The following is a 25,411-nucleotide window of genomic DNA, read 5'->3' as shown; positions in this document are numbered from 1 at the left end:
TTTGAGATGGTTGATATAATTCAGTGATCCCTTCTGCAGAAGTTCGCCTTTAAAGCTTAACTGTGACATAAAATTGCCGTTGATAATTGGAACATCTGAACACAACGTAGAACTTTTACTTATACTTTAACATGTTGACATTTCATCCTCTGCAAACTGTCTTGGCCTTATAAGGGCTTACTCATTGAGCAATAGATCTTGGTGGTTTGCCTTGGAAATAGAAGACCGGTACTACCCCATCCCAGGCAGAATGACTGGATCCAGAAGGGGTACAACTAGGAAATGCAGAAAGAGGCTTTGTTCCTGGAAGATGCTGTTCTGGTCTAGTTTTAAGTGCTGTCCACATAAGTGTGAAATGAAAATCAATCTTGGGGCCCCCAAATCACTAAGCTAAAGGCAAAAGTCAAGCTGGGAACTGCTTAGGGCAAACCTGATTTTATTCAAAGTCACCGCTCTGCTTGCTTATGAGATAAATCTGTATCAGATTGCCTCTTTTAGAGAGGCTCATTAGAAACGCAAAAGAATGCAACCTTTCGTCTCTACCTATGACCTGGAAGCCCCCTCCCACCTTCCAGTTGTCCCACCTTCACCTGGCATTGTCCCACCTTTCCAGATGGAACCAGTGTACATCTTATACATATTGATTGATGGCTCGTGTGTCCCTAAAATGTATAAAACCAAGCTGTGCCCCTACCACCTTGGGCACAGGTGGTCAGGACTCGCCTGAGGCGGTGTCACAGACGTGCATCCGCAGCCTTGGCAAAATTCACTTTCCTAATTAACTGAGACCTTTCTCTAGATATTCGGGGTTCAAATAAGGATGAATAAGAAGAGGCAGAGTGGGAACAATGCAGTCTTGGGCTAAGGAGGCTTCTTGGAAGCTCTGCTAAAGCGGGGTCTTGCCCTTAGCTGCAGTCTAGAGCCCCCTGGGAAGCTTTCACCAGCCTGGGCCCCACTCTAGATGTTCCGATTTAATTGGTCTGGGGTGGGGCCCGGGAAGTGGCACTTTTACGGACTCTTCAGGTGATTCTAGTTTATACCTGGGGTTAAGAACCACCACATTCTAGCCTCACCATTTGCTGGTTTCAGAAGAAAAAAAAAAAAAAGAAAAATGAAACATTTACCCTAGTGTCTAAGTGTCTAATAAGGAAGAACTTAAAATGTGGGCACCTATGTAAAAATGTCAAAATTGAAAATGCGGAGGGGGCATCTGGAATCAAACTGGTGGCCTCTCGGTCTGCAGTCTTATGCTCTAACCCTGAGCTATACCCCTTCCTGCTGCTGTGGGGGTCAATTAATGCCTTTGACTTGTGCGGTCACACCCAGATGACCAGTCACCTGTGTGTTGCCACTTCACAATGGAAGCTCCTAGGAGCTGCCAGGTCTACCTCAGTGAAAACTCATTGACCTTGTGCATAGCAAGAGGCAGTCCCCGCTCCTCAGATAACCCCCGTGCCTGTGTCTTCCCTGCCTTGAGTCCTTAGTTATGGGCAGCAGGCTGGAAAAGCACTGCCAGCAGCCACTAGAATGGCCTTGAGAGTCATCCTCCAGTAACTGTTTATGGTGGGCACATACAAGAGAAACTTTGTGTGACTGAGGTGTCTGTTCTAAAACACTTAATGACAGAGTTGGGCCTGGCTCTCCTGGTCCAGTGTTCCAACACAACTACAATCTAGGACAGAAGGTGATTCTTCCAGCTTTCACTTCTTCAATTAATATTAATGGAGAATGATAGAGAAGGAGCGACTCCAAGAAATAGTGAGAAGGCGGTAGCTGAGTAGATTTTGGAATCCCCGAAAGCCTTAAGAGGGCCAGCGTTAACATAGTTTCAAGGACCAGAATATGTTGCTAGACAACAACCCCACTTGATTCATTTTTGTCTTTAAGTAACAGGGTGTTTTCCTGTCATCCAGAGTGGAGTGCAGTGAAACAATTATAGCTCACTTCAGCTTCCCAAGTAGGTGGGACCACAGGTGTGTACCATCATACCCAGCTAATGTATTTTATTTTTTGTAGAGGTGAAGTCTCACTATGTTGCCCAGGCTGGTCTTAAACTCCTGGTCTCAAGCGATCCTCCTGCCTTGACCTCCCAAAGTGCTGGGATGAGAGACATGAGCCACTGTGTCCAGCCTCCCACGTGACCTTCCTGATGGCAGGCAGAACCCTGTCCTTTCTAGAAGGAAGACTTGGAGGAACACTTGGGTTAACTCCTTTTCACCTCCTCAGCTGTGCCAAGGCCCCGCCTCTGCTCTTGTCATAGGAGCTGGTAAACTGTCTCTTCTTCAAACTGCCTTTCTTTCCTGCTGGAATTTTCTCCTTTACCCACAGGCCTTTGCCTTGTAGCCCTGGGCACCTTCTCAGAAGGCAGCCAGCAGCCAGCCACTCCTCTCCGCTCCTGGCCTGACAGCCTCGGGAAACACTGACTTCCGCAGTGATTTATATGATAACGTTAAAATCCTCTGGGTTTCCCTTTTCGGCAGTAGGGTGGACTGCCAAGGAAGATGCGGAGGATTGATGAGCCTGCAAGAGCACAGAACTCCCCACTGGCAGGGCCTGGGCAGCAGCCTGGCAGGCAGATCACCTGAGGTCGGGAGTTTGAGACCGGCCCGAGCAACATGGAGAAACCCCATCTCTACTGAAAATACAAAATTAGCCGGGCCTGGTGACTCTTGCCTGTAATCCCAGCTACTCGGGAGGCTGAGGCAGGAGAATTGCTTAAACCCGTGAGGCGGAGGTTGCGGTGAGCCAAGATCGCGCCATCACACTCCAGCCTGGGCAACAAGAGCGAAGTCCAGGAAGTCGCAGAAGACCCTGGACATCGCTGGATTCTGGAGGCCCGGATGTCAGTAGTACAATGATGAATGGGCATTTCCAAGAAGAAGTCTTAGGCCCCACCCATGGTGAGGAATCAGGAAGGAGACAGTCTTGCACTAAGGCAGGATACGAGAAGGGCTAAGCAGTGGCCGGGCGCAGTGGCTCATTCCTGTAATCCCAGCACTTTGGGTGGCTGAGGTGGGCAGATCACCAGGTCAGGAGTTGGAGACCAGCCTGGCCAATGTGGTGAAACCCCGTCTCTACTAAAAATACAAAAATTAGCCGGGTGTGGTGGCGGGCACCTATAATCTCAGCTACTCGGGAGGCTGAGGCAGGAGAATCGCTTAAAATAGGAACGTGGAGGTTGCAGTGAGTCCAGATCGCGCAGCTGCTCTCCAGCCTGGGCAACAAATCGAGATTCCATCTCAAAAAAAAAAAAAAAAGAGCGTATGTTTCATGGATTGTTGTGTAGATTGAATGAGTTAATCTGCGTAAAGCACATAAAACAGGACTGGCAGGTAGTAAATTCTATATACCGTTTGCTGAACAGATAAAAAGCTCACAGAGAAATCAGCTAACATTCATGAGAGCCAATAAACACAAGTAAGAGAATAAGAACCCACATGGCAGGAGAAGGTATCTGTTGCACATAAGTGATGAAGGGTTTATTCCCAAAATATATAAAGTATTGCACAAGACAATTAAAAAATGGACAACTTAGTAGAAAAATGAAGAAGAGACTTGAGCAGTCACTTCACAGAAGAGGACATCCAAGCGACCAATAAGCCTATGAAAAGATGCTCAAACCTCATGAGTCTAGAAAGGTGCAAATTAGGCCGGGCGCGGTGGCTCACACCTGTAATCCCAGCACTTGGGGAGGCCGAGGCGGCCGGATCACCTGAGGTCGGGAGTTCAAGACCAGCCTGACCAACATGGAGAAACCCCATCTCTACTAAAAATACAAAATTAGCCAGGCTTGGTGGCGCATGCCTGTAATCCCAGCCACTCAGGAAGCTGAGGTAGGAGCATTGCTTGAACCCGGGAAGCGGAGGTTGTGGCGAGCCAAGATCGTGCCACTGTACTCCAGCCTGGGCAACGAGAGCGAAACTCCATCTCAAAACGAAAAGAAAAGAAAGGTGCAAGTTAAACCGCAGTGAACTATTGCTAGAATTGTTGCTAGGTTGGTTAAAATGAAAGAGACTGATGTTACTCAGTGATGGTACGTGGAGCCATAGTAACTCTCATCCCCTGCTAGTGGTAGTGTGATTTGCTGGAACCACTTTAGAAAACCGTCCGACCTTACTGGCTAAAGCCAAAAATAGAAACACCCACTTCCTCAACAATTGTATTCCTAGATACGGAGAGTAGAGTGTGTCTGTGTACATGCAAGATTCTTGTTCATAGCAGCATTCCTTTCAGTCTTCTATATCTTGATTTAGGAGGTGGGTACATTTGTGTGTATGTGTACAAATTAATTGAGCTGTACGTTAAAGATTTCTATACCTTATTGTTAGTTATATTTCAGTTAAAAGTAAATAAAAAGGAAGATGTTGATACTTTTTTTCATTTCTGGAATGTCTTAGTTGATTCATTTAAAAAATATATTTGGTGATTTTTTTAGAGTCTTTTGCTCCTCAATTCAGTTTCCATTTCCCTTTAAGAGCATATTTGTCTTTCTTTCATTTTTCAATTTAAAGCTTTCACGACCCCACCGTTAAATAATATTTCTTTTTATATTTCAGGTAGACAGCTAGTGACATATTAAGAAGGTAGAATATTTATCCTCGCTTCCAAGAATTTTTTTTGAATCACGAAGGTGTGTTGGATTTGATTGGATGTTTTTCTTCATCTATTTGAATGACGTGATTTTTCTCCTTTAATCTGTTGTCTTAGTTTAGATTTCTTTAGAAAGAGACTCTGAAACTAAAATGTAAGAGCAGGTAGTTTATTTGGAAGATAAGTTCAGGAAACACCAGTAGGGAGTGGGAAGTCAGACAGAGAAAGCAAAGAAGCCAATAAAAGGTGGTGTCAATCTAAATAACAGGCAGAATCTCTCTGAAAAGTAATGTAACTTAATTAGGGAACGAGCATTGGCAGTGGTTATACAGGTGTCAGAGTAAACTATGTTTGAGGAAGTTGTGGTAAGGGAAAGTTTTGTGTTTTTTTTTGTTTGGTTGGTTTTTTTTTTTTTTTTTTTTTTTTTGCTTGGGGGACGGAGTTTTGCTCTTGTTGCCCTGGCTGGAGTGCAATGGCAAGATCTCGGCTTACTGCAACCTCTGCCTCCTGGGTTCAAGCGATTCTCCTGCCTCAAGAAGCAGGGTAAAAGACACTAGTGGAAAACGCTGACTCTGCCTCACCACACCCCTTGAGAGCCTCAGTGAGTGGAGTTTGTGAACATTCGTAGAGGCAGCAGGATGGAAATCTCTGGAGGCCTTAGCATTGGACGCACATTGCCATGGTGTTTGACATTCCTGAGGACAGAAGGAGAGGGCGGTGAGGAAAATAAGATTGTTAGCCTGGTTCTAAAAGTGTCCACTGTTTGTGGAGTCCCATATGTCAGAGAAGACATGAATGGTGAGAGGAGAGAGTGGTGGAAGGAGATGGTTTTGAGAGAGGAGAAGCGTGGAGGGATAGTGGAGGAGCTGTTGTTTGGGGGCAACGTGGAGAATGAGACTGAGAAGGTGACCCTACCCTCTGTGTGGCCTATGCCAGTCTAAGTTGTATGTGGATAAAGTTATCTACCAACATTGAACATAAAGAATGGAGAACCTGGATCTGAGCGAGGGACCTCTTGCTCTACAGTCAAAAGCTCTAGCCCAGAGCTTTACCCCCATGGCACACTGAGGTTACCTAGTTAGTACCTTTTATCAGTATGGGAACACTCAGCTTTGTAAAATTAAATGATGGCTTCCCTCCAGGACTGACTTTCTGGAAGCTGCCAGACCTGATTCACAGCTAGACACCTTCCCTCAGCTCTGCAGTTCACCAGGTCTGTCTCTGGGTGGAGCCATGAGCAGGAGAAAAGGATGGAGGCTGTCTGCAGAACTCAGAGCCATTTCCCATTGTTTTTTGGGGTTAACCCAAGAGCTGGCCACTGGTGTCCAAAACAGTCCACAGACTAACCCAAGCTCCCAGCCCGGCTCCCTTTTTCCTGCAGTGAAGACAGAGTGGACAAATATGATAACTGATGATAAACTGCCTAGCATGATATTAGCACATAGTAGGGCATAGTAAGCATTAAAAAAATAACACCAGTTCCTGTTCTTGTCTTTTGGCAAACTCCAAACCAGTATCTGTAATGTCTCCTAAATGACCTCCTTAGACAAAGGACCTCACTGGTTCTTCATTGCAGCACACAGGACTCCCTGTGGCCCACAGAACAAAGTTGGAATTCCCAATCATCTCATACGAACAGACTCTTGAGTCTAATCCCCCACCTCCAAGCCTTGGGCCACAGTCACAGAGTGGGCTGTAATTCACGTGCAGCCGCAGAGCTACAGGAGTTTGGTCGTAGGGGCAGCACTGCAGAGCCTCTGTCTCCCTTGTTAGAGTAGCTGAGCCAGGCTTTTGGCCTATAAGGTTGAAGCAAGGGTGTGAGTGAGCCCTGCGTGGGAGCAATTCTCCAGGGGAAACATCTGCCCTCCATGGGAATGCTGTGTGCTGTGATGTGTCTCCCCAGGTCTGGCCACCACTCCAGTGCACCAAACTGCTGCTGTGGGAAGGAGCCAGGAGAGTGATAACTTGGGGTACCATTCCCCATCTGTTTCTGGGGAGCCTGCTGCAGTACTACTCTCTGGTCTGCCCTGGAAAAACCCAGAAGCATACTGCATCACAGCTTGAGAAATTACATCTATAGGGGGAGCAGGGAGCTAGATACCAAGAATACCAAGAATATGAGGGATACCCGTGGAACTGGTGCTGGGAGAAGTTATCCAGCCAGGTTGCAGCTGGGTAGGCCTGAGCTGTAGCTTCCAGTTCCAGGGAAAATCATAGGTGGAATGGATGAAAAGAAACTGGAATGTGACCAACAGCTTCTGTGAAGAATATAACAGCTTGTATGAATAGAAAAAGTGCAGTAGGGGGCACCCAGATTTGAACTGGGGACCTCTTGATCTGCAGTCAAATGCTCTACCCCTGAGCTATACGCCCTGCTTGTCATAAGTGTCTAATAACCACTTTTCATGTTGGTAATCGCACCCAGGAGTCCTACAGCACATTGAAAGTTCCTGCTTACTTTTAGAGAGTAAGACCAGCAACTGATTTTACCACAAACTCACCCCAGAAAAGTCCATCCCCAGTTGCCAAACCCTGGCCCCTGCTCACATGCCTGCACAATCTCCCCGCTTTCCCTCAGTCCGTGGTGACAGGAGCAGCTGAGAGGAGTGTTTCCGTTTACTGCTGGAACAGCCTTTAGGTCTCCATGTTTGATGTCTTCTTGTTTACACTACAAAATAGCAGTTTGGAGACACAAATTGAGACACATGCAGTACTGACATATATAGATATCTCTCAGTCTGGGATCTTTGCATTAAATCCAGTTCATGAAAGACTTGGTGAAGTTGGGGGAGTTCCTAGGCCCTGACATGGATCAGAGAGTAGTCCTGGGAAGCATCATGGAGACAACATAGCATGAGGACCACACAGCTCCTCCAGGTTTTGGCCAGAAAACTCCGCTGCTAGTGTGGAAAGCTCTACCCTGAACTACACCTCCATTCCCAGTGCATGGCTGTTTTTAACGTTACATATATTTTTATAATTTATCAGAAGTTTGGACTGGTTGGAGCCCACCACAGCGCCACAAAGCCTCCGTAGCCAGACTGCCTTTCTAGATTCCTCCTCTCTGGGCAGGGTATCTCTGAAAGAAAGGCAGTAGCCTCATTCAGGGCCTTGTAGATAAAACTCCCATATCCCTGGGACAGAGCACCTGGGGGAAAGGGGTGGCTGTGGGCACAGCTTCATCAGACTTAAACTTTTCTGCCTGCCGGCTCTGAAGAGAGCAGTGGATCTCCCAGCACAGTGCTCAAGCTCTGCTAAGGGACAGACTGCCTCCTCAAGTGGGTTCCTGACCCCCGTGCCTCCTGATGGGGAGACACCTCCCAGCAGGGATCAACAGACACCTCATGTAGGAGAGCGCTGGCTGGCATCTGGCGTGTGCCCCTCTGAGACGAAGCTTCCAGAGGAAGGAGCAGTCAGCAGTCTTTGCTGTTCTGCAGCCTCTGCTGGTGATACCCAGGAAAACAGTGTCTGGAGTGGACCACCAGCAAACTCTTAGCAGACCTGCAGAAGAGGGGCCTGACTGTTAGAAGGAAAACTAACAAACAGAAAGCAATAGCATCAAATAAACGAAAAGGACGACCACACAAAAACCCCATCTGAAGGTTACCAACATCAAAGACCAAAGGCATTTCTCTATTTCTCTTTCTTTCCCTTCTTTCACTCCCTCCCTCCTTCCCTTCTTCCTTCTCTTTTTTTTCTTTTGAGACAAGGTGTTGCTCTGTCACGCAGGCTGAAATGCAGTGGCATGATCATAGCTCACTACAGCCTCAAGCCATCCCACCTTAGCCTGCTCTATAGCTGGGACTCCAGGTACATGCCATGACATTTCACAGGACATATCCACAGAAAATTGTGGCATTAGCATGATTTGAGGGTGAGATTTTTGGCCCTCTTATATCAAAAGGCCACCTCTCAGGCACTTGCTCAGACCAGTTGAAGAGTCAGTTGTCTAAACCAGTTTTAGCTGGACAGGAGCTGGCCCAAGTGCCTGAAAAACAACTGAAGTGACCATCACCATGTGACCTACGTAAGTTCTATAAAGCCTCCCATGAAAGTTAAGTTTCTGCATTGAGCATTGAGGCTTTCAGGTACGGTGGCCTTCAGCTTCGTGGAAATAGGGAAATAATAACAACAAAAAGCAAGCAGGGCAGTTGGGCCTGATCAGATTAATCCCTCCATTTGAAGGCAAGCAGGAAACAACCGGCCTTGGGGGCTCAGGGGTTACAAGGCACAAGTGAACCACTTGGAAGTGGCCCTGGATCTTCACTTATTTTTGCATCTGTGACCTTCACCATGAGACTTTGCAGATCTTCCCACTAGAGGTGGAACATGCTTCCCTGCTCTTGAGTTAGGGCTTGCTTCTCTGACTTGATTTGATCAATGAGATGTTAGCACATGTGATGCAAACAGAGGCTTGAAAGCTGCTTGCATAGTTGGGCCTCCCCCTTTGCATTTCTGCTGTCACCACCAGAAGAGTGTCCCCTTGCTAGCTGCTACTCCTCCAGCTGGGATTGTGGAAGGAACACACATGGAGCAAACTTGAGCCCGGCTCAGACAGAAACCAAGCACAGATGGACCCACAGCTTGAAGCAGACCCAGCCTACATCAGCTGATTGGCATCCATGCTGCTGACCTATCAGCACGAGACATGCTTATGGTTTCATACAGCCTAATTTTGGGATGATTTGTTGTGACACATTGTTGTGGAAATAGCTGACTAATACAGCCTTGATTCTTACACCTGCCTCTCCCCCAACCCTCATCCCCTATTCCCATCAGGTACTGAGTAAGGGAATGGGAGGAGATAGTTGAAGGAGTTCAGGTTGTGGCTACAGAGTAGGAAAGTACCATTAGACCAGTGAAGGGTCTCTGGGAAATGGAGGGGTGAACTCATGACCAGAAGGGCGGTCTCTAGTCAGTTGTGGTAGAGTTGCCAGTTTCCATAAGCTGGCTGGGAATGAATACAATTTATAGTGCACTGTAGAATCCTTGGGTGTGGCAACACAGGTGAAATATGCTAAGGAGGAATGTCCACCAGGCAAGGGGGTATAGCTCACAGGTAGAGCATTTGACTGCAGATCAAGAGGTCCCCGGTTCAAATCCGGTTACTCCCTGCTGCCACTTACCTGTGGGTTCTCTTTTCCTGATGTTGAGCTTGCTAGTCATCCTCACCACTGTTCTTCCTATAGTTCGTGTCAGTTTTCTCATGACTTCATTTTTCTGGCACAAGTCATGATCAAGTCAGTAATAATCTGCATGTGCTTCAAAAGTTCTAATTAGCTGCTCTTCTTTGAAGTTTATATTATGGCAGGACAGCCTGAATTAGAGGTTATGTAGTCTGACTTTGCATCAGCATTACTGACAGAACATGTCAAAGATACAGATTACTTCCTAGAAATTCCAATTTAGTAGGACTGAGGAGGAATCAGAGAACTTCTACTTTTGGGGGTTGTCTGGGGCATAATCCCCTGTTAATACCTGTTCTAACATCCAATAATTCCAAGTGGCTGGAAAATTGTTTTGGAACTTACAACAACTTGTCATTCTAAACAACATCCCAGTGGGAAGCATCAGTGATGTTCAAGCTAGTGCCTGCCTTCAGTCCATCACTGAGGGCATGTAGGGTGCTGAGCTGCAGGCATAGGCAAGTGGCCAGGTATGTAGAGGTGGGAGAGTGTGGGAAGGTGGGGGATGTCAGAATGAAGCTGTGGGCATGGTAGGAGGGTGACCAATTGCAATGGCACAGTCAGCTAGGGGTGGTGGCAGGCCATGAGTGATTACTCGACTCCCTGCATTGAAGTTCAGAATTAAAGTGTACTCAGGCTTCAGTAGTTGTTTTTGAGTAAAGCATTTGATTGATGATCCACAGGTCCCTGACTCAAATTCATGTGTTCCCTACCTACACTAATTTCTTCCCATACTGACCAGAGTATTCAAAAATAGTTTCGTTTCACCTCCTGAGGCCCCTGCACCTGACTCTTCCTGCAAAGAGGACGAGAGGGTAAGGAGGTTGGTTTGTCCCATGCTCCTCTCTACTTTCCTGCTGCCCCACGTGACCTGCCCAGATCTGCTCTGCACGCCTGATTCAGTCTTGTCTTGCTTTGCTTTGGTGAGCATTTCTCTTGTGTTTTCTTTTTTGTTTTTCTTCCTATTCTTCCCCACCCTGTGAACCCTCTGTCCACATTTTGAGGATCCCCAGTTGTGTGAGGCACAGTGGAAGACATGGCTCTGCTTGTAGCCCTCGAAGCTGCAAGGAAGGAAAAAGCCTCTTTCTCTCTTTGTCTTCCTGGCACTTCTGGCCACTCAAGTGGCCCTGACTGCTACTTACTCAGCTAATGCTCCAGAACCGAACACTTTCTATCAGGGAAACAAGTGGCAAACCTAATCTTTTAGGAAGAGACAAAGGCAGGGCACAGGATGAGGGGAGGAAGAGGAGGACACTGAGAGGGAAGGCAGGAGCATGGTTGACCCTTGAACAACACAGGGGCCAGGGGTGCAAGCCCCCAATCCCATGCAGCGGAAGGTCTACATCTAACTTTTGACTCTCCAAAAAGTTAACTAGTGATAGTCTCCTATTGACTAGAAGCCTTATTGACAATATGAATAATCAATAACATGTATATTGTATGCTCTATGTATTATATATTATATATTTACAATAAGCTAGAGAAACTTTTTATTAAGAAAATCATAAGGAAAAGAAAATATGTTTATTACTCTTTAAGTGGAAGTGAGTCATAGTAAAGGTCATCATCCTCATCATTAGCTTCAGATTGAGTAGGCTGAGGAGGAGGATGAGGGGTTGTTCTTGCTGTCTCAGGTCGCAGAGGAGAAGGAAATTCACTTATAAGTGGGTCTGCGTAGTTCAAACCCATGTTGTTCAAGGGGCAGCTGTGGATTGAAGACAAAGTTAATTCAAAGCTTTGCAAAGAGTCCACCTTGCCTCCGATGACTAACGTTAATTGATGAATTAATTAATTTGTTTATTTGAGACAGAGTCTCGCTCTGTCATCCAGGCTGGAGTACAGTGGCGCGTTATCGGCTCACTGTAACCTTCACCTCCCGAGTTCAAGCTATTCTCCTGCCTCAGCTTCCTCAGTAGCTGGAATTACGGGTACTCGCCATCATGCCCAGCTGAGTTTTGTGTTTTTATAGAGATGAGGTTTCACCATGTTGGCCAGGCTGGATTTCAACTCCTGACCTCAGGCCATCCGCTCGCCTCGGCCACCCAAAGTGCTGGGATTACAGGTGTGAGCCACCGCGGCTGGCCTTAACCTTAATTTAAACCTGTAGCAGTTGTAGAACATAAACCCATTGGTCAGCCTTATGGTTCGGTATGATTAAAAGCACACATTTATTTAAGGTGAATCTGGTTACCAGATATCAGTGTCTCAGATTTCCCTGGAGCCAGTCAGCACCTTTGAAAGTTAAGGGAAGGACGGGTGGACACGAGAAAAACCAAATTTCTGAAGTGGAGACCTGCTGGGTCATTTGACTAGGGAGACCACATCTCTGCAAGGCTCGACCCCTGATTCTTCCAGAAGACCCGCCCTTGACCGTCCCACCTACTTTGGTTTTCCCTTTCGTCTGACACTGAGAAAGGTGGTGTTCCGCAGAGGCCCTCCTGTGCGCCACTTGTGTGAAATTAAATGCATCCCCCATGTCCGTCATCTCATCTCAGTCAGGTTTGCACTTCCCTAAGGGCAGAAGCATGTTCCGGGCTGGCCGCTTTGCCAGTCGTCATCAGGACATTGACAGTTTAGTTCTACAGATGCATTTTGAGAATCTTCTAGGTGTCAAGGACAGTGCTGAGTGCTAGAGGACATAAAGATGGTCGAGAACAGATACTTTTGGGCTGCAATAGGTTACAATCCAGGTGCATCCAGCTTCCTAGGCTGGGTGGGAAGTTGTGGGTGACTGGGTTTCATTGTATTTACATTGTGTATGGAGGCTTCCCTCGCATTCACACCATTGTTAAATTAGAGTAAAGAGGGGTCTGGAAATATGGTAGTAGATGGTAAGACTCCACAGCACTCTCTGTCTGCATCATACGATGTTCAGCAGCATCCTTGGCTTCTACCCACCAGTAGACAAGATGAGTAGACACAAACTGCACTGTCCATCCTGAGCCTGTTGGCAGGGATCCTGTGTGGCCTTTATCTCTGTCCTCTGTCTGAGAAGCCAGGACTCCCAGCTCATCCCTCGCCACATCTGGCCTGGCCCATCCCCCTGTGAGACCTCACCTCCCCTTCTCCTCACCTCCTGCACATCCCTCCACTGAGCCTTATCGGACTCAGGGCTTAGCAGACCTGCCAGGTCCTGAGCGTTCCCTGCTCGGGCTGAGCTCCAGGGGACTGCAGCCCTCTGAGTGTTTGTCATCCTCTTCCTTGCCTCCCTCTGAGCCCAGGCCCACCGGGGACAGGGTCCTTGCCCCTCATGATTGCGCTTCTGCCAGCTTCACTCCTTCTCTAGAGACCCTGCCTTTGGGTCTCAGGCCTCGTCTTTTTGCTGCTTCTGCAGACCTTCCCTATCTTCTCGTCACCCAGGACACTGGACCTGCTTTCCTGCTTTGGGTCTTGCCTGTCAGACAGCATCATGTATATGTATGTTTCCTATTTATAGATTCATCGTATGTCAGGTCTTCCCCATTAGAATGTCAATTTCAAAAGTACAAAAATTTTTAATCTGTTTTCTTCATATAATCATTCTAGGCACCTAGAATATTGCCTAACACAGAGTAGGAATTCAATAATTATTTGCTGAATGTATGCCATGCTTCATAATTTAAAAAGTGTGTGTGATGTGTGTGTGTGAAATAATGGATTTCTGATACCATTTAAATTTCTTTTAAGGTCTCCCATGCCTCCCTGGAGCAACCACTTGTCCTGAATTGTCTGTGTTTATCCTTTCTATCCACTTTTTTTTTTTTTTTTAATTTGACACAGAGTCTCACTCTGTCACCCAGGCTGGAGTGCAGTGGCGTGATCTCGGCTCAACCTCAACCTCTGCCTCCCAGGTTCAAGCGATCCTCCTAGCTCAGCCTCCTGAGTAGCTGGGACTACAGGCGTGTACCACCACGACTGGCAAATATTTGTATTTTTAGTACAGACGGGGTTTTACCGTGTTAGCCAGGATAGTCTCGATCTCCTGACCTCATGATCCGCCTGCATCACCCTCCCAAAGTGCTGGATTACAGGCGTTGAATCACTGCGCCTGGCCTCTATCCACATTTTAAAACATCTGCCATGTGCATTTGTAGTTGTAAACAGTATATTATATGGTTTTTTGTGTTTTGAAAAATTACATGGATGTTATTATATTTATCACTCATTATTCTGTATTTCAGACTTATCCATGTTGATACATGTAGATCAAGTTCATTCCTTTTAACAGATGCTTAATATTCCAGAAGCAACTATATTGTAACTTATTTTCCATTCCTCCACTGATTGGCACTTAAGCTTTTTCTGATTTTTCACACAAGCAATACCGTAGTGAGCGTTCTTGGGCCTGTCTCTTTGTGCCCCTGTTGGGATGCTACTCCAGAAAACAGACCCAGCGGTGGCCTCACCATATCATAGGCTTGCTTGATTTCATCTCTGCCATTGCCATATTGCTGTCCCCAGAAGTACCCCAGTGCCACCGGGTGCTCCAGCAGCTATGAGGAACCTGTTTCCGTACATCTTTGCCCAGTTTCTATAATTACATTTCTGCCAACCTAATGGGGGAGAGATCCTGGTCCTAATACAGGGGACACTGGAGGCCTGAGCTTCAGGGCTCAAATAGCCAGCCTTTGTGCCTGGTCCTGGCTCTGCCAGTTGTGCTGAGCTAATGGTTTGGAGCTAGCATGGGGCTGGGTCCCCTCTGTTAAGGTGGTGTCTCCCTTTTAAAGGGAAGGACTAGTAAGTGAGGAGAGGGAAGAAGAGAAGACAGTCGAAAAAATGTAGGCCAAGGCCCAAAGTACCCCACTGTGCAGAGGGTGAAAGTGAAGTGGAGAGGGAGTATGGGATGTAGGTTAAAGAAGATAAAACTAAAGCAGGAGAGAAGGAGAGAGGAAGCTTCCAGCTCTAAACAGCAGTTCTCCAAATTGTTGCCCCACACAGGGACTGAGGAGGAGGCTGCAGGATTCTAGGCAGGAAAGATTTCTAGAAGTCCTCTGATAGGTCCATAGGGAAGGACAGGGTAAGTTCAAAGCCAGATAGAGGTCTGTCTGAAGGAGGTCAGTTGCCAGTGGTTCACTGAAAATGATGAGAAATTACAATGTCTATTAGATCCTTGGGCGTGGGAACATAGGTGAAACAGTGTCAATCAGGAAAGTCTAAACAGTTGAGAGGGCATATTTTGAGGGCAGAGCATCTGGCTGCATATCAAGTAGTCCCTGTTTCAAGATGGTGTCACGTATTGGCCCTTCCTTTCACTCTGCCCATGTGTTTGCAGTCACTCCGTCCTGTGTCATGTCCCAGTGACCACAGATTTCTCTGATTCTCCACTTCTCCACTTTCCATGGATTGGATCCTGTCTTCTGGTCACTACTTTTATCTGACACATTGTGGGATTCAGCAAATGGAAAAGAGGAAAGGAAAAGGCAGTTCAACTCCTGCCTCAGAGTGTTCAGTGCAAAGAGGCCCTTTATCATGAATGTGGATTCTAGTCTTGACTTGGTCATTAATCAGGTGTGTTTTGTTTGGGTATGATTTTAATTACTGTCATTTTTTCCAGATCTATACCATGGAAGGGAACAGATTAAACGAGTATCTCCAAACCATGAGTTAGAATGTTGCAGGTTTTTTAGAAGCACACATGTCCCTAGGTCCCTTCCCAGAGAGTCTGGCTTAGGAGTCCTCAAGTGGGGCCCAAGAACTTTCGATTTTACCCAGCTCTGCCCTGCCCTGCCCAGCCCAGCCCATCCTCACCTCCAGCGGGTCTGCTGAACAACCAATTCTTTTGAGTCCCTCTGTTCTAGGCGAGTCTGAAGGATGTTTTGGCTGCAAACCTCAGTGATTTTAATGTCCCTGCCTTCAGTCACACACTGGAGGAAGAAGGATGCTGGTTGTAAGTAGAGCTAGCAGGCAGGTGTGGAGTGGGAAGGGGGTGTATCATGGCAAAGCAAGTACACATCTCATGACGGTGACAGGATATGGCCATACAGGTTTATAGTAGTTATTAGAGATAGGTAGTCAAATGGGGGTATAGCTCAGGGGTAGAGCACTTGACTGCAGATCAAGAGGTCCCTGGTTCAAATCCAGGTGCCCCCTCCCTGTTTTCACTCACTGAACATGATATGATGTTCTATTCCTAGCCTTTCTTCAACACATGGATTCATTCTGCAAAGCAGGAGAGAGAGGAGGCAGGTCAGGTCTTCACTAGAAAGCCTCACCTGACACCAGAAGCTGTAGAGAAACCCAGTTTCTAGAAGGCTGTCATTGTCCACAGGTCTGGGGAGAACTCTTTTTTTCTTGCACATCTCAACCCTCTTCATTTGGGGAATTCACAATTGTGTAAGTCTTGGTGGAAGACAGGATCCTGTTTCTGGTCAAGGAAAATACAAGGTCAGATATGTTGTCTCCCTGAACGTTGGTGTGTGAATCAGGGTTCCTCAGAGAAAATAGAACCAATAGGGGCTTGTGTGTGTGTGCACGTGTGCACGTGTGTGTACATAGACAGATTTTTAGGAACTGGATCATGCCATTGTGGGGGCTGGCAAGTGTGATGTCTTCAGGGCATGGCAGCAATCTGGAGAAGCAGGGAAGAGTTGAGGTTGCAGCTCCAGCCTGAAGACAGCATGGAGGCAAAATTCCTTTCTTGGGGGACAGCAGATATTTCCTCATAAGGTTTTCATCTGATCGCATGAGGCCCACTCACATTTTGGAGGGTAATCTGCTTTAGTCAAAGTCTATAGATTGAATGTTAATCACATCTAAAAAATACTTTCACAGCAACATCCAGATTGGTATGGACAAACATCTGGCCAGCATGGCCTAGCCAAGTTGACACATTTAAAGAAAAAAAAAAAAACTGTTGAGGCAGACAGAAGCTCCCTCTGTCACCCAAGCTGGAGTGCAGTGGCACTATCTCCACTCACTGCAACCTTCGTCTTCTGGGCTCAAGAGATCCTCCTACCCCAACCTCCAGAGTAGCTGGGACCACAGGTGTGCACCACCACGCCCAGCTAATTTTTGTATTTTTTGTAGAGATGGGATTCTGCCATGTTGCCCAGGCTGGTCTCAAACTTCTGGGCTTAAGCGATCCACGTGCCTCAGCCTACCAAACTGCTGGAATTACAGGCATGAGCCACTGTGCCCTGCTGACATGTAAAATTAACCAGCACAATTGGTAATGGCTTCAGTTTAGCCAATTATATTCCCCTAAACAAGACTATGAATGTTGATTAAATCATACATGGAGGCGGGGTGAATTTGGAATTCATTCTGGAGATGGCAGAGCTCTGGCAATGGCAGTAGGGCCAGAGGCTGCAGCTAGTGTCTGTTGTGGTGGCAGTGGTGGCTCCCTAGCCAGGGTGGGCTGAGGTCCTGCCTGTTTGATGAGCCTGGCTCTGCAGGCTTCTCTGAAGTGCGTGAGCTCCTCGCCATCCTGTCAGCAATTGCCCTCTGTGTCTCCACTCACCTTAGATGATGTCTTCTTTAATCAAAGTGCCCTTGCTGGTACCAGGGATGTATAATAAATGATTACAGAAACATAAAGGGAATGTGGATTGGGAATCTGGCCTCATTAAACTTGAAGGTAATGAAAATCTACGCAGTTTGAGGGGATAGAAATCCAGAAGCCCATATCAGGCTGTAGAAAAGTTGAGTAACTTTGCCTGCAGTCCCATCAGGACCAATTTGTAGTTCCCAGTTTATAAGTGGCCTCTGGGCAGGATGACTGGTCCTACCAGTTTAAACAAAGCAAGTAGCTCACTTGTCACCCTGTATGATCCATTCCCATGGACTGAAAACACAGGGCTTTTTCTGACTGTATAACAAAACTCTCTGATCTCCTGCCCCCGAATAACTGAACTAGGTGAAAATGAAAGCCAAGTCTGATCCCTGTGGCTTACCAAACTTTGATGTCCATGGAATCTGCAGCTTCCCCCGGTCTCCCAGCTGAAAATAGGTCAGTGATTAAGAGAGTGGAACTTCAGGAATTTTAAGGTAGGTTTATGGAAGCATTTGGAAAACTCAGTTTATCCCAAATCACCAGCTCTCCCTAATCTCCAAGCCTGCCCCTTCTTCCCGCAAAAGCCGACCAGCCCAGATGGAAGGGTTTTCACTGCAAGAGATTGGTTTCCCCATCCTCATTGTCCCTTGACTTACAGTGAGAGTAAGATCTCAGTTGAGCCTGGGCACCAGTTGCTGGGAGGCAAAGACTCACACACCAAAATCATTTCCAACTGGCTAATGTCTGTCAGCAAAAACTTAAAGAGCATGTGTGGATGTAGATTCTTGGAATACTTTATAAAGTAGAAAGGGTATAACTTTAAATGAGTCTGAATTTTTTTATTAGGAGTGTTCCCAATTAAAATTCTATTTAAGATACCATAGCTGGAGCAGCTGGGATAAACCTGTTTGCTCAGTTGGTGGACCTAAGCCTGGATTCACAGAAGGCCAATTCTTTTTTTTTTTTTTTTTTTGAGACGGAGTCACGCTCTGTCTCCCAGGCTGGAGTGCAGTGGCGCGATCTCGGCTCACTGCAAGCTCTGCCTCCCGGGTTCACGCCATTCTCCTGCCTCAGCCTCCCGAGTAGCTGGGACTACAGGGGCCCGCCACCATGCCCGGCTTATTTTTTGTAATTTTAGTAGAGACGGGGTTTCACCATGTTAGCCAGCATGGTCTCGATCTCCTGACCTCGTGATCTGCCCGCCTCGGCATCCCAAAGTGCTGGGATTACAGGCATGAGCCACCGCGCCCAGCCACAGGAGGCCAATTCTAAATGCATTTGAGATACTAGGAATTTCTTGCTATAATGTAGAAAGAATACATTGGCTTCAGGGGGTAGGTAAGCTGGAGTGGATTTATCACACGTGACTTGCCCTGGCTTGAAAAATACCTAGGTGTGTGGAGCTTCTACATTCATGAAAAGAATCCTGGTAGCTGTTCTCTGTAGACAAAAATGCTGGTGGGAGTGATGATAGCGGAAAGGAAGCTCCTGATTTCAGTGGGGCTAGGAGGATCGTAGGGTGTCAGAGGCCAAGCAGTGGACACTTTACCACAGAATGTTATTCCATGGTCTCTGCCACACAGGTCTTGGCTGTGACTCATCAGTGGGAGGATTCTAGGCCTGACAATGGGGAGCCCATCATGGTCCCCTAGACGTGTAGACCTGAGCTACCACCATAGCCGGCACAATGGAGGTTCCTGGCCTCTGACCCATTCCCCAGGTCTGAATCTGCTCAAAGAACCTGCCTCCCCTGATGACGAGAAAGCCAAGCTTGAGAAAAGTACTCTGCCAAAATACCCAGTCATGGACAGTGAATCCTCCTGCCAGATTTCCCATAATAGCCCCTTCAGCCATTTGCCTGGAAACTGCACTGAGGAGTGGGAAATATCCACATAATTGGGGATTATTGGTGGCTCTGCTGCATCTGTGAAGCTCCTGGAGGTTTGGTATTTTTGGGAACATCAGAATATTCCAGAAAAGACCACATCCTGCATCTTGCTTTGTTCAGCTACCACCACCATCAGAGGGGGCTCGAGAGACCACAGTTACTACCCATGGTGTGCTCCTCTCACCCAAAAGGCTACAGACTGCAAGGTTTTCATCACATAATAATGAGATGAGCCTTAGGGGACAGACCAAAAGGTTCCAATCAGGGTGCCCTTTACGGATTCTTATTTTTATTTACTGATTTTGGAATCTGACACCAGCTTCCTTTCCCTTGCTGGAGCCCATGATCTGTATCTGTCTGCATGGAGGAGAGAGAAGAGGTTGATGGGATCAGGTCAGTCCTCTGGGTAGTCCCAGCTGACTTCCTCTATCATCTCGCTCCTTGCCCACAGTCTCACAGAGCCTCCCAGAATCCTGCTTTTCCCCAGTCCTTGGTCTGGGTAGGCCAGGGTGTGAGTCTGCAGCAGCCCCAGATGGGAAATCCAGAACCTGAGGGCCCAGAGCCAAAGTCCAGGGTGCAGCACACTTAGAAATCTAAGCTCATTAGATTTCTCATACCTGTTGGAGGCGGGCATGAAACTGTGGCTGGTTCAGGTTCTCCTGTGCCACAGTGGAAGCTGGGTGCTGTGGAGAATACAGCAGGACTTAGAGACATGGCCCAGCCCTCTCTTGGGAATCACATGGATGTGCCTGGGGAGATTCTGGAGAACTCTGCAAAAGTCCTGGAGTGGTATCCAGAGGGCTGCAGGAGACAGATGTGCCTTACAAACTTTAAAACCCATGAAATCACCTGAGGGCTATTGAGTCTGCACTTCAGAGATGCTGTGGGTCAGAGATTAGATAGGCTGTGTCATTTTTTTTGCAGGGTGGATTGGGTGGAGCTTATGACCCAGGACCCACTTTGGTGATTAAAAAGTAGAACAGTGTAGGGGGCACCTGGATTTGAACCAGAGACCTCTTGATCTGCAGTCAAATGCTCTACCCCTGAGCTATACCCCCAGTCATAGGTAGACAGTGTAATTAACACCCTTTTCATGTGTCAGCACAGCAAGAGCAAGACCGAGCTCTTCCGGCTTGGATGTCTACGCCGGTTGTTTCTCTGAATTCTGGCCTCCCTCCTGTCACTGATACTTCTTTCTCCATCACTTTTGTGTGTACCTGGTTAAGGACACCCTGGTAGCCTTGTTGAGCTTTATAAATGGAGAGACCCTTCAAGTCATCCAGATAATTCTCTTAGACAGTAGCAATTGTTGAGCATCATGTGAGGTGTGCTAGGCTGGGGATGGAACTCTAACTAGGTGACACCACCTTCTCCAGCACTGAAAGGAAACCAGAGCCTGTGTCTGGAGACTTGTATTTGACGTAGAATACTGTTCATGATAATTTGTCAAGGGAAAAGCAAATTGCTTTTGTTAAAAAAAAATACTCAAAAAATAATACTTAGTCTTTTAAAAATGTGGCACATATTCACTGTGGAATACTACGCAGCCATAAAAAAGAATGAGATCATTTCCTTTGGAGCAACATGGATGGACCTGTAAGGGCATTAGCCTTAGCCACTAACACAGGAACAGAAAATCAAATAATGCATGTTCTCACTTACAAGTGGGAACTAAATGATGAGAACACATGGACACAGAGAGGGGAATGCCACACACTGGCACCTACTTGAGGGTGGATGGTGGAAGGAGAGAAGATCAGAAAAAATACATATGCATAGTACGTGGCTGATGAAATAATCTGTACACCAAGCCTACATGACATGAGCTTACCTATATGACAAACCTGCATATGTACCCCTGAACCTAAAATAAAAACAAAAAAAAAAAGAAAACATAGAAAAGATGATTCTCTACAGAGTATCACTTGTGGTAATTTATCCTTCAAAAATATTCCTATAATTGCATGAAGACACATGTATGTGGAGATTCATGATAGCGGTTTTTTAATTCCTCACAGCAAACACTGGAGACCATCAAAATATCCATTGGCAGGGAATTGGTTAAAACCAGGCTTTCTCTCTTACCCTGGAGGGGTTGAGGAGAAGGTGAAGATGCAGAGAAGCAGAGGATGCTCAGGGAACTCTATATCTTGGTCTTCTCAGTCAGGTAGAAAACAGGTCATCCAAAGAGAATAAAGGAGGTAGGGTGGGAATCATTACTTGGGAAGAAGGGCAAAGCGTGAACCAGGCATGGTGGGAAACGGAGAAAAGGTGAATTAGAAAGGAACAGAATTATTGCTTATTAGCAGAGAGTCACAGTAAGGAGAACAGGTAAACATCAGAAGTGGTGTCATTAAAGTACTTTCTGATTCTAAGATCTTGAAAGAGAATAGTTTGAGCAATGATCACATTTGGCTATGAATACTGAACGATTAAAGTAAAACCAGAAGCAGCAAACAAACCAGAAGCTTCCTTATCTGCCACTTAAAAGTCCACAGTTAGGTGGTCCAGGCATGGCTTTCCATAGGGTCAAGAACTCAAGTTCTTCTTTCTGGCTGTCTGGCCGGCTTGGCTTTCATTCCAGCATGACATCACCCACATTAGCATCTCATCAACCTCCCAGGCAGCAGGAAGATGGAAAAGACAAGTCTTTCCTGTAAGGACATCCATCACTTTCACCTGCATCTCATTGACCAGCCTTATGCCTGTGGCCTCACAGCTCCAAGAGGGTCTGGGAAATGCAGTTTTCCTTTGGGGAAGCCATGTGCCCAGCTGATAACCAAGAAGCAGGGTAGAAGACACTGGTGGAAAATGCTGAATCTCTGTCTCACCACACACCTTGAGAGCTGCAGTGAGTAGAGTTTGTGAACATTTGTAGAGCTGTGAAGATGGAAATCTCTTAGCACTGGAAGTCCTTAGCATTGGAAGCACATTGTCATGGTGTTTGACATTCCTGGGGACAAAAGGAGAAGGTGGTGAGGAAAATAGGATTGTTATTCTGTCGTGGTGTTTGACATTCCTGAGGACAAAAGGAGAGGGCGGTGAGGAAAATAGGTTTGTTAGTCTGGTTCTAAAAATGTCCAATGTTTCTGGAGTGTAAAATATCAGAGAAGACATGAATGGTGAGAGAGTGGTGGAAGGAGATGTCTTTGAGAGAGGGAAGCAGGGAGGGATGGCGGAGGAGCTGGGGCTTGGGGGCAACATGGAGAATGTGACTGAGAAGGTGACCCCACCCTCTGTTCTGGGAGTTGAAGGGGAGGGATGGCTTTAGGGGAAAGCTGGCCTTCAAATGTACAAGGAGTCATAAAAAGGCAGACTTGCAGGGCAAGGTTAAGGTGGAAGAAGACTGTTTATAGAGTAGCTGGAGGGCTGGCGGGCTTGGGTAGAGGAGCTGAAACAGTAATGGGGATACAGGAAGGAGGCTGCCCCAAGAGACCATTTCTACTAACAGAAGGTATTGGAGGGCAGGGACAGGAAAGGGGCAAGTACCCAAGTTCTAGGCCAAAGCTCTAAGTGTGGAACTGAAACAGCAAAAGCTACCTCTTAAAAATTTAAGTTTTTGTAGGTACATAGTGGTATATATTGATGGGGTACATGAGCTATTGGGAAACAGGCATGCAATGTGAAATAAGCTCACCATGGGGAATGGGGTATCCATCCCCTCTAGCATTTATCGTTTGAGTTACCAGTGCCACTTTTTGGAGGGAAAAAAATACTAAATAAAAAGTTCACATCTCTTGTTAAAAGAATCCGCTTTAATGAGTAAGAAATTATGAAACATATCATTGAAAATAAAAGAAGTTCTGTTTTTCAGGCCATACATCTTATACTAATAAGGAGAGTCACAGGATGCAGAATATTTTCAACTCAGAGGAGTAGAGCAAAGTGTCATTTGCAAAATGATCAAATTAGACAGAGCCTCAAGTGACACTACACTTGACCAGGCTCTGTCTTCAGTGCCTGCTTCTCTGTTGTGTTTTCCTGCCATTCAATGTAAAGATAGTAAGACTTTGCTGCTTTCAAATACTTTTATTACCAGAACATGTTTTCAACCTATCTAAAGTATAAACTTATGTTGTTTATATAAATCTGAAGAATTATTAAATATAAGGTAGTTTTTAAAAAGGTTCATAAAACATGATTAGTATAAGGGATACTAAAAATCATGAATTGTGCTTCAGAATTCTATGCTGTATAGTTGAACCTCTATGAATTTTAAGATTTGTGTCAAAAAAGCTGTTTGTTCTCTAAAGCATAGAACGCCATGACATCCTCTAGTTTTTGAGATGGTTGATGTAATTCAGTGATCCCTTCTGCAGAAGTTCACCTTTAAAGCTTAACTATGATGTAAAATTGCCGTTGATAATTGGAACATCTGAACACAACGTAGAACTTTACTTACACTTTAACATGTTGACATTTCATCCTCTGCAAACTGTCTTGGCCTTATAAGGGCTTACTGATTGAGCTATAGATCCTGGTGGTTTGTCTTGGAAATAGAAGACCAATACCACCCCATCCCAGAGAGAATGTCTGGATCAGGCAAGGGAAAAATTAAGACAACTAGGAAATGTTGAAACAGCCTTTGTTCCTGGAAGATGCTGTTCTGGTCCAGTTTTTTTGTTTTGTTTCGTTTTGTTTTTGGTTTTGGTTTTGGTTTTGGTTTTGGTTTTGGTTTTGGTTTTGGTTTTGGTTTTTTGAGACGCAGTCTCACTCTGTCGCCCAGGCTGGAGTGCAGTGGCATGATCTTGGCTCACTGCAAGCTCCGCCTCCCGGGTTCACGCCATTCTCCTGCCTCAGCCTCCTGAGTAGCTGGGACTACAGCCACCCACCCCCACGCCTGGCTAATTTTTTGTATTTTTAGTACAGACGAGGTTTCACCGTGTTAGCCAGGATGATCTCGATGTCCTGACCTCGTGATCTGCCCGCCTTGGCCACCCAAAGTGCTGGGATTACAGGTGTGAGCCACTGCGCCCGGCCTCTGGTCCAGTTTTAAGTGCTGTCTACATAAGTGTGAAATGAAATTCAATCTTGGGGGCCCCAAATCACTAAGCTAAATGGAAAAGTCCAGCTGAGACCTGCTTAGGGCAAACCTGCCTCCCATTTTATTCAAAGTCACCCCTCTGATTATGAGATAAATCTCTATCAGATTGCCTCCTTTAGAGAGGCTCATCAGAAATGCAAAAGAGTGCAACCTTTTGTCTCTTCTCTACCTATGACCTGGAAGCCCCCTCCCAGCTTCCAGTTGTCCCACCTTCGCCTGGTGTTGTCCCACCTTTCTGGATGGAACGAGTGTACATCTTACACGTATTGATTAATAGCTCATGTGTCCCTAAAATGTATAAAACCAAGCTGTGCCCCTACCACCTTTGGAACAGGTTGTCAGGACGCCCTGAGTCAGTGTCACAGACACGCATCTGCGTCCTTGGCAAAATACACTTTCATAATTAATGGAGACCTTTCTCTAGATATTTGGGGTTCACCTAAGGATGAATAAGAAGAGGCAGAGTGGGAACAGGGAGACTTGGGCTACGGAGGCTTCTTGGAAGCTCTGCTAAAGTGGGGTCTTGCCCTTTGCTACAGTCTAGAGCCTCCTGGGAGCTTTTATCATGCCTGGGCCCCACCCTGGATGCTCTGATTTAATTGGTCTGGTGTGAGGCCTGGGAAATGGCACTTTCATGGACTCTTCAAGTGATTCTAATTTATATCTGGGGTTAAGAACCACCACTTTCTAGCCTCAGCATTTGCTGATTTCAGAAAATAATGAAACCTTTACCCTAGTGTCTAATAAGGAAGAAGTTAAAACGTAGACACCTATTTAAAATGTCGTAGTGGGGGGCGGTTCCAAGATGGCCAAATAGGAACAGCTCCAGTCTACAGCTCCCAGCGTGAGCAACACAGAAGACTGGTGATTTCTGCATTTCCATCTGAGGTACCGGGTTCATCTCACTGGGGCTTGTTGGACAGTGGGGGCAGGACAGTGGGTGCAGCCCACCGAGCATGAGCCAAAGCAGGTTGAGGCATCGCCTCACCTGGGAAGCTCAAGGGGTCAGGGAATTCCCTTTCCTAGCCAAGGGAAGCGGTGACAGACGCCACCTGGAAAATCGGGTCACTCCCACCCCAATACTGCGCTTTTCCAACGGTCTTAGCAAACGGCACACCAGGAGATTATATCCCGCACCTGGCTCGGAGGGCCCCACGCCCACGGAGCCTCGCTCATTGCTAGCACAGCAGTCCGAGATCGATCTGCAAGGCGGCAGCGAGGCTGGGGTAGGG

General features: G+C 46.6%; 4 non-coding genes and 1 pseudogene across 6 annotated transcripts in view, besides 3 other annotated features; 3 read left to right on the top strand and 2 right to left on the bottom strand.

Moving 5' to 3' along the window:
- Window positions 1-25,411, top strand: part of ZNF767P (zinc finger family member 767, pseudogene) — a 77,637-nt pseudogene that overhangs the window by 19,873 nt on the left and 32,353 nt on the right. The window lies entirely within an intron of this gene.
- Window positions 3,845-4,004: an enhancer, noted in NCBI's record as "active region_26817". NCBI's record gives its function as "activates an Ori minimal core promoter by ATAC-STARR-seq in GM12878 lymphoblastoid cells {active_cell/tissue: GM12878}" and the evidence as "EXISTENCE:reporter gene assay evidence [ECO:0000049][PMID:35858748]".
- Window positions 4,113-4,313: a silencer, noted in NCBI's record as "peak6840 fragment used in MPRA reporter construct". NCBI's record gives its function as "represses an SCP1 promoter by STARR-seq MPRAs in K562 erythroleukemia cells {active_cell/tissue: K562}" and the evidence as "EXISTENCE:reporter gene assay evidence [ECO:0000049][PMID:32103011]".
- Window positions 4,753-4,953: a silencer, noted in NCBI's record as "peak6839 fragment used in MPRA reporter construct". NCBI's record gives its function as "represses an SCP1 promoter by STARR-seq MPRAs in K562 erythroleukemia cells {active_cell/tissue: K562}" and the evidence as "EXISTENCE:reporter gene assay evidence [ECO:0000049][PMID:32103011]".
- On the bottom strand, window positions 6,892-6,963 carry TRC-GCA20-1 (tRNA-Cys (anticodon GCA) 20-1). The gene has a single exon. It is a non-coding gene; the product is annotated as a tRNA-Cys (tRNA).
- Window positions 9,633-9,704, top strand: TRC-GCA23-1 (tRNA-Cys (anticodon GCA) 23-1). Its single transcript has one exon. It is a non-coding gene; the product is annotated as a tRNA-Cys (tRNA).
- On the top strand, window positions 15,774-15,845 carry TRC-GCA3-1 (tRNA-Cys (anticodon GCA) 3-1). Its single transcript has one exon. It is a non-coding gene; the product is annotated as a tRNA-Cys (tRNA).
- Window positions 20,122-20,193, bottom strand: TRC-GCA15-1 (tRNA-Cys (anticodon GCA) 15-1). Its single transcript has one exon. It is a non-coding gene; the product is annotated as a tRNA-Cys (tRNA).

Source organism: Homo sapiens, chromosome 7, assembly GCF_000001405.40.
Source record: "Homo sapiens chromosome 7, GRCh38.p14 Primary Assembly".
In the NCBI taxonomy this organism is placed as follows: Eukaryota; Metazoa; Chordata; class Mammalia; order Primates; family Hominidae; genus Homo; species Homo sapiens.
The sequence above is the reverse complement of the archived record's forward strand: the minus strand, read 5'-3'. Positions and strand labels throughout refer to the sequence as shown.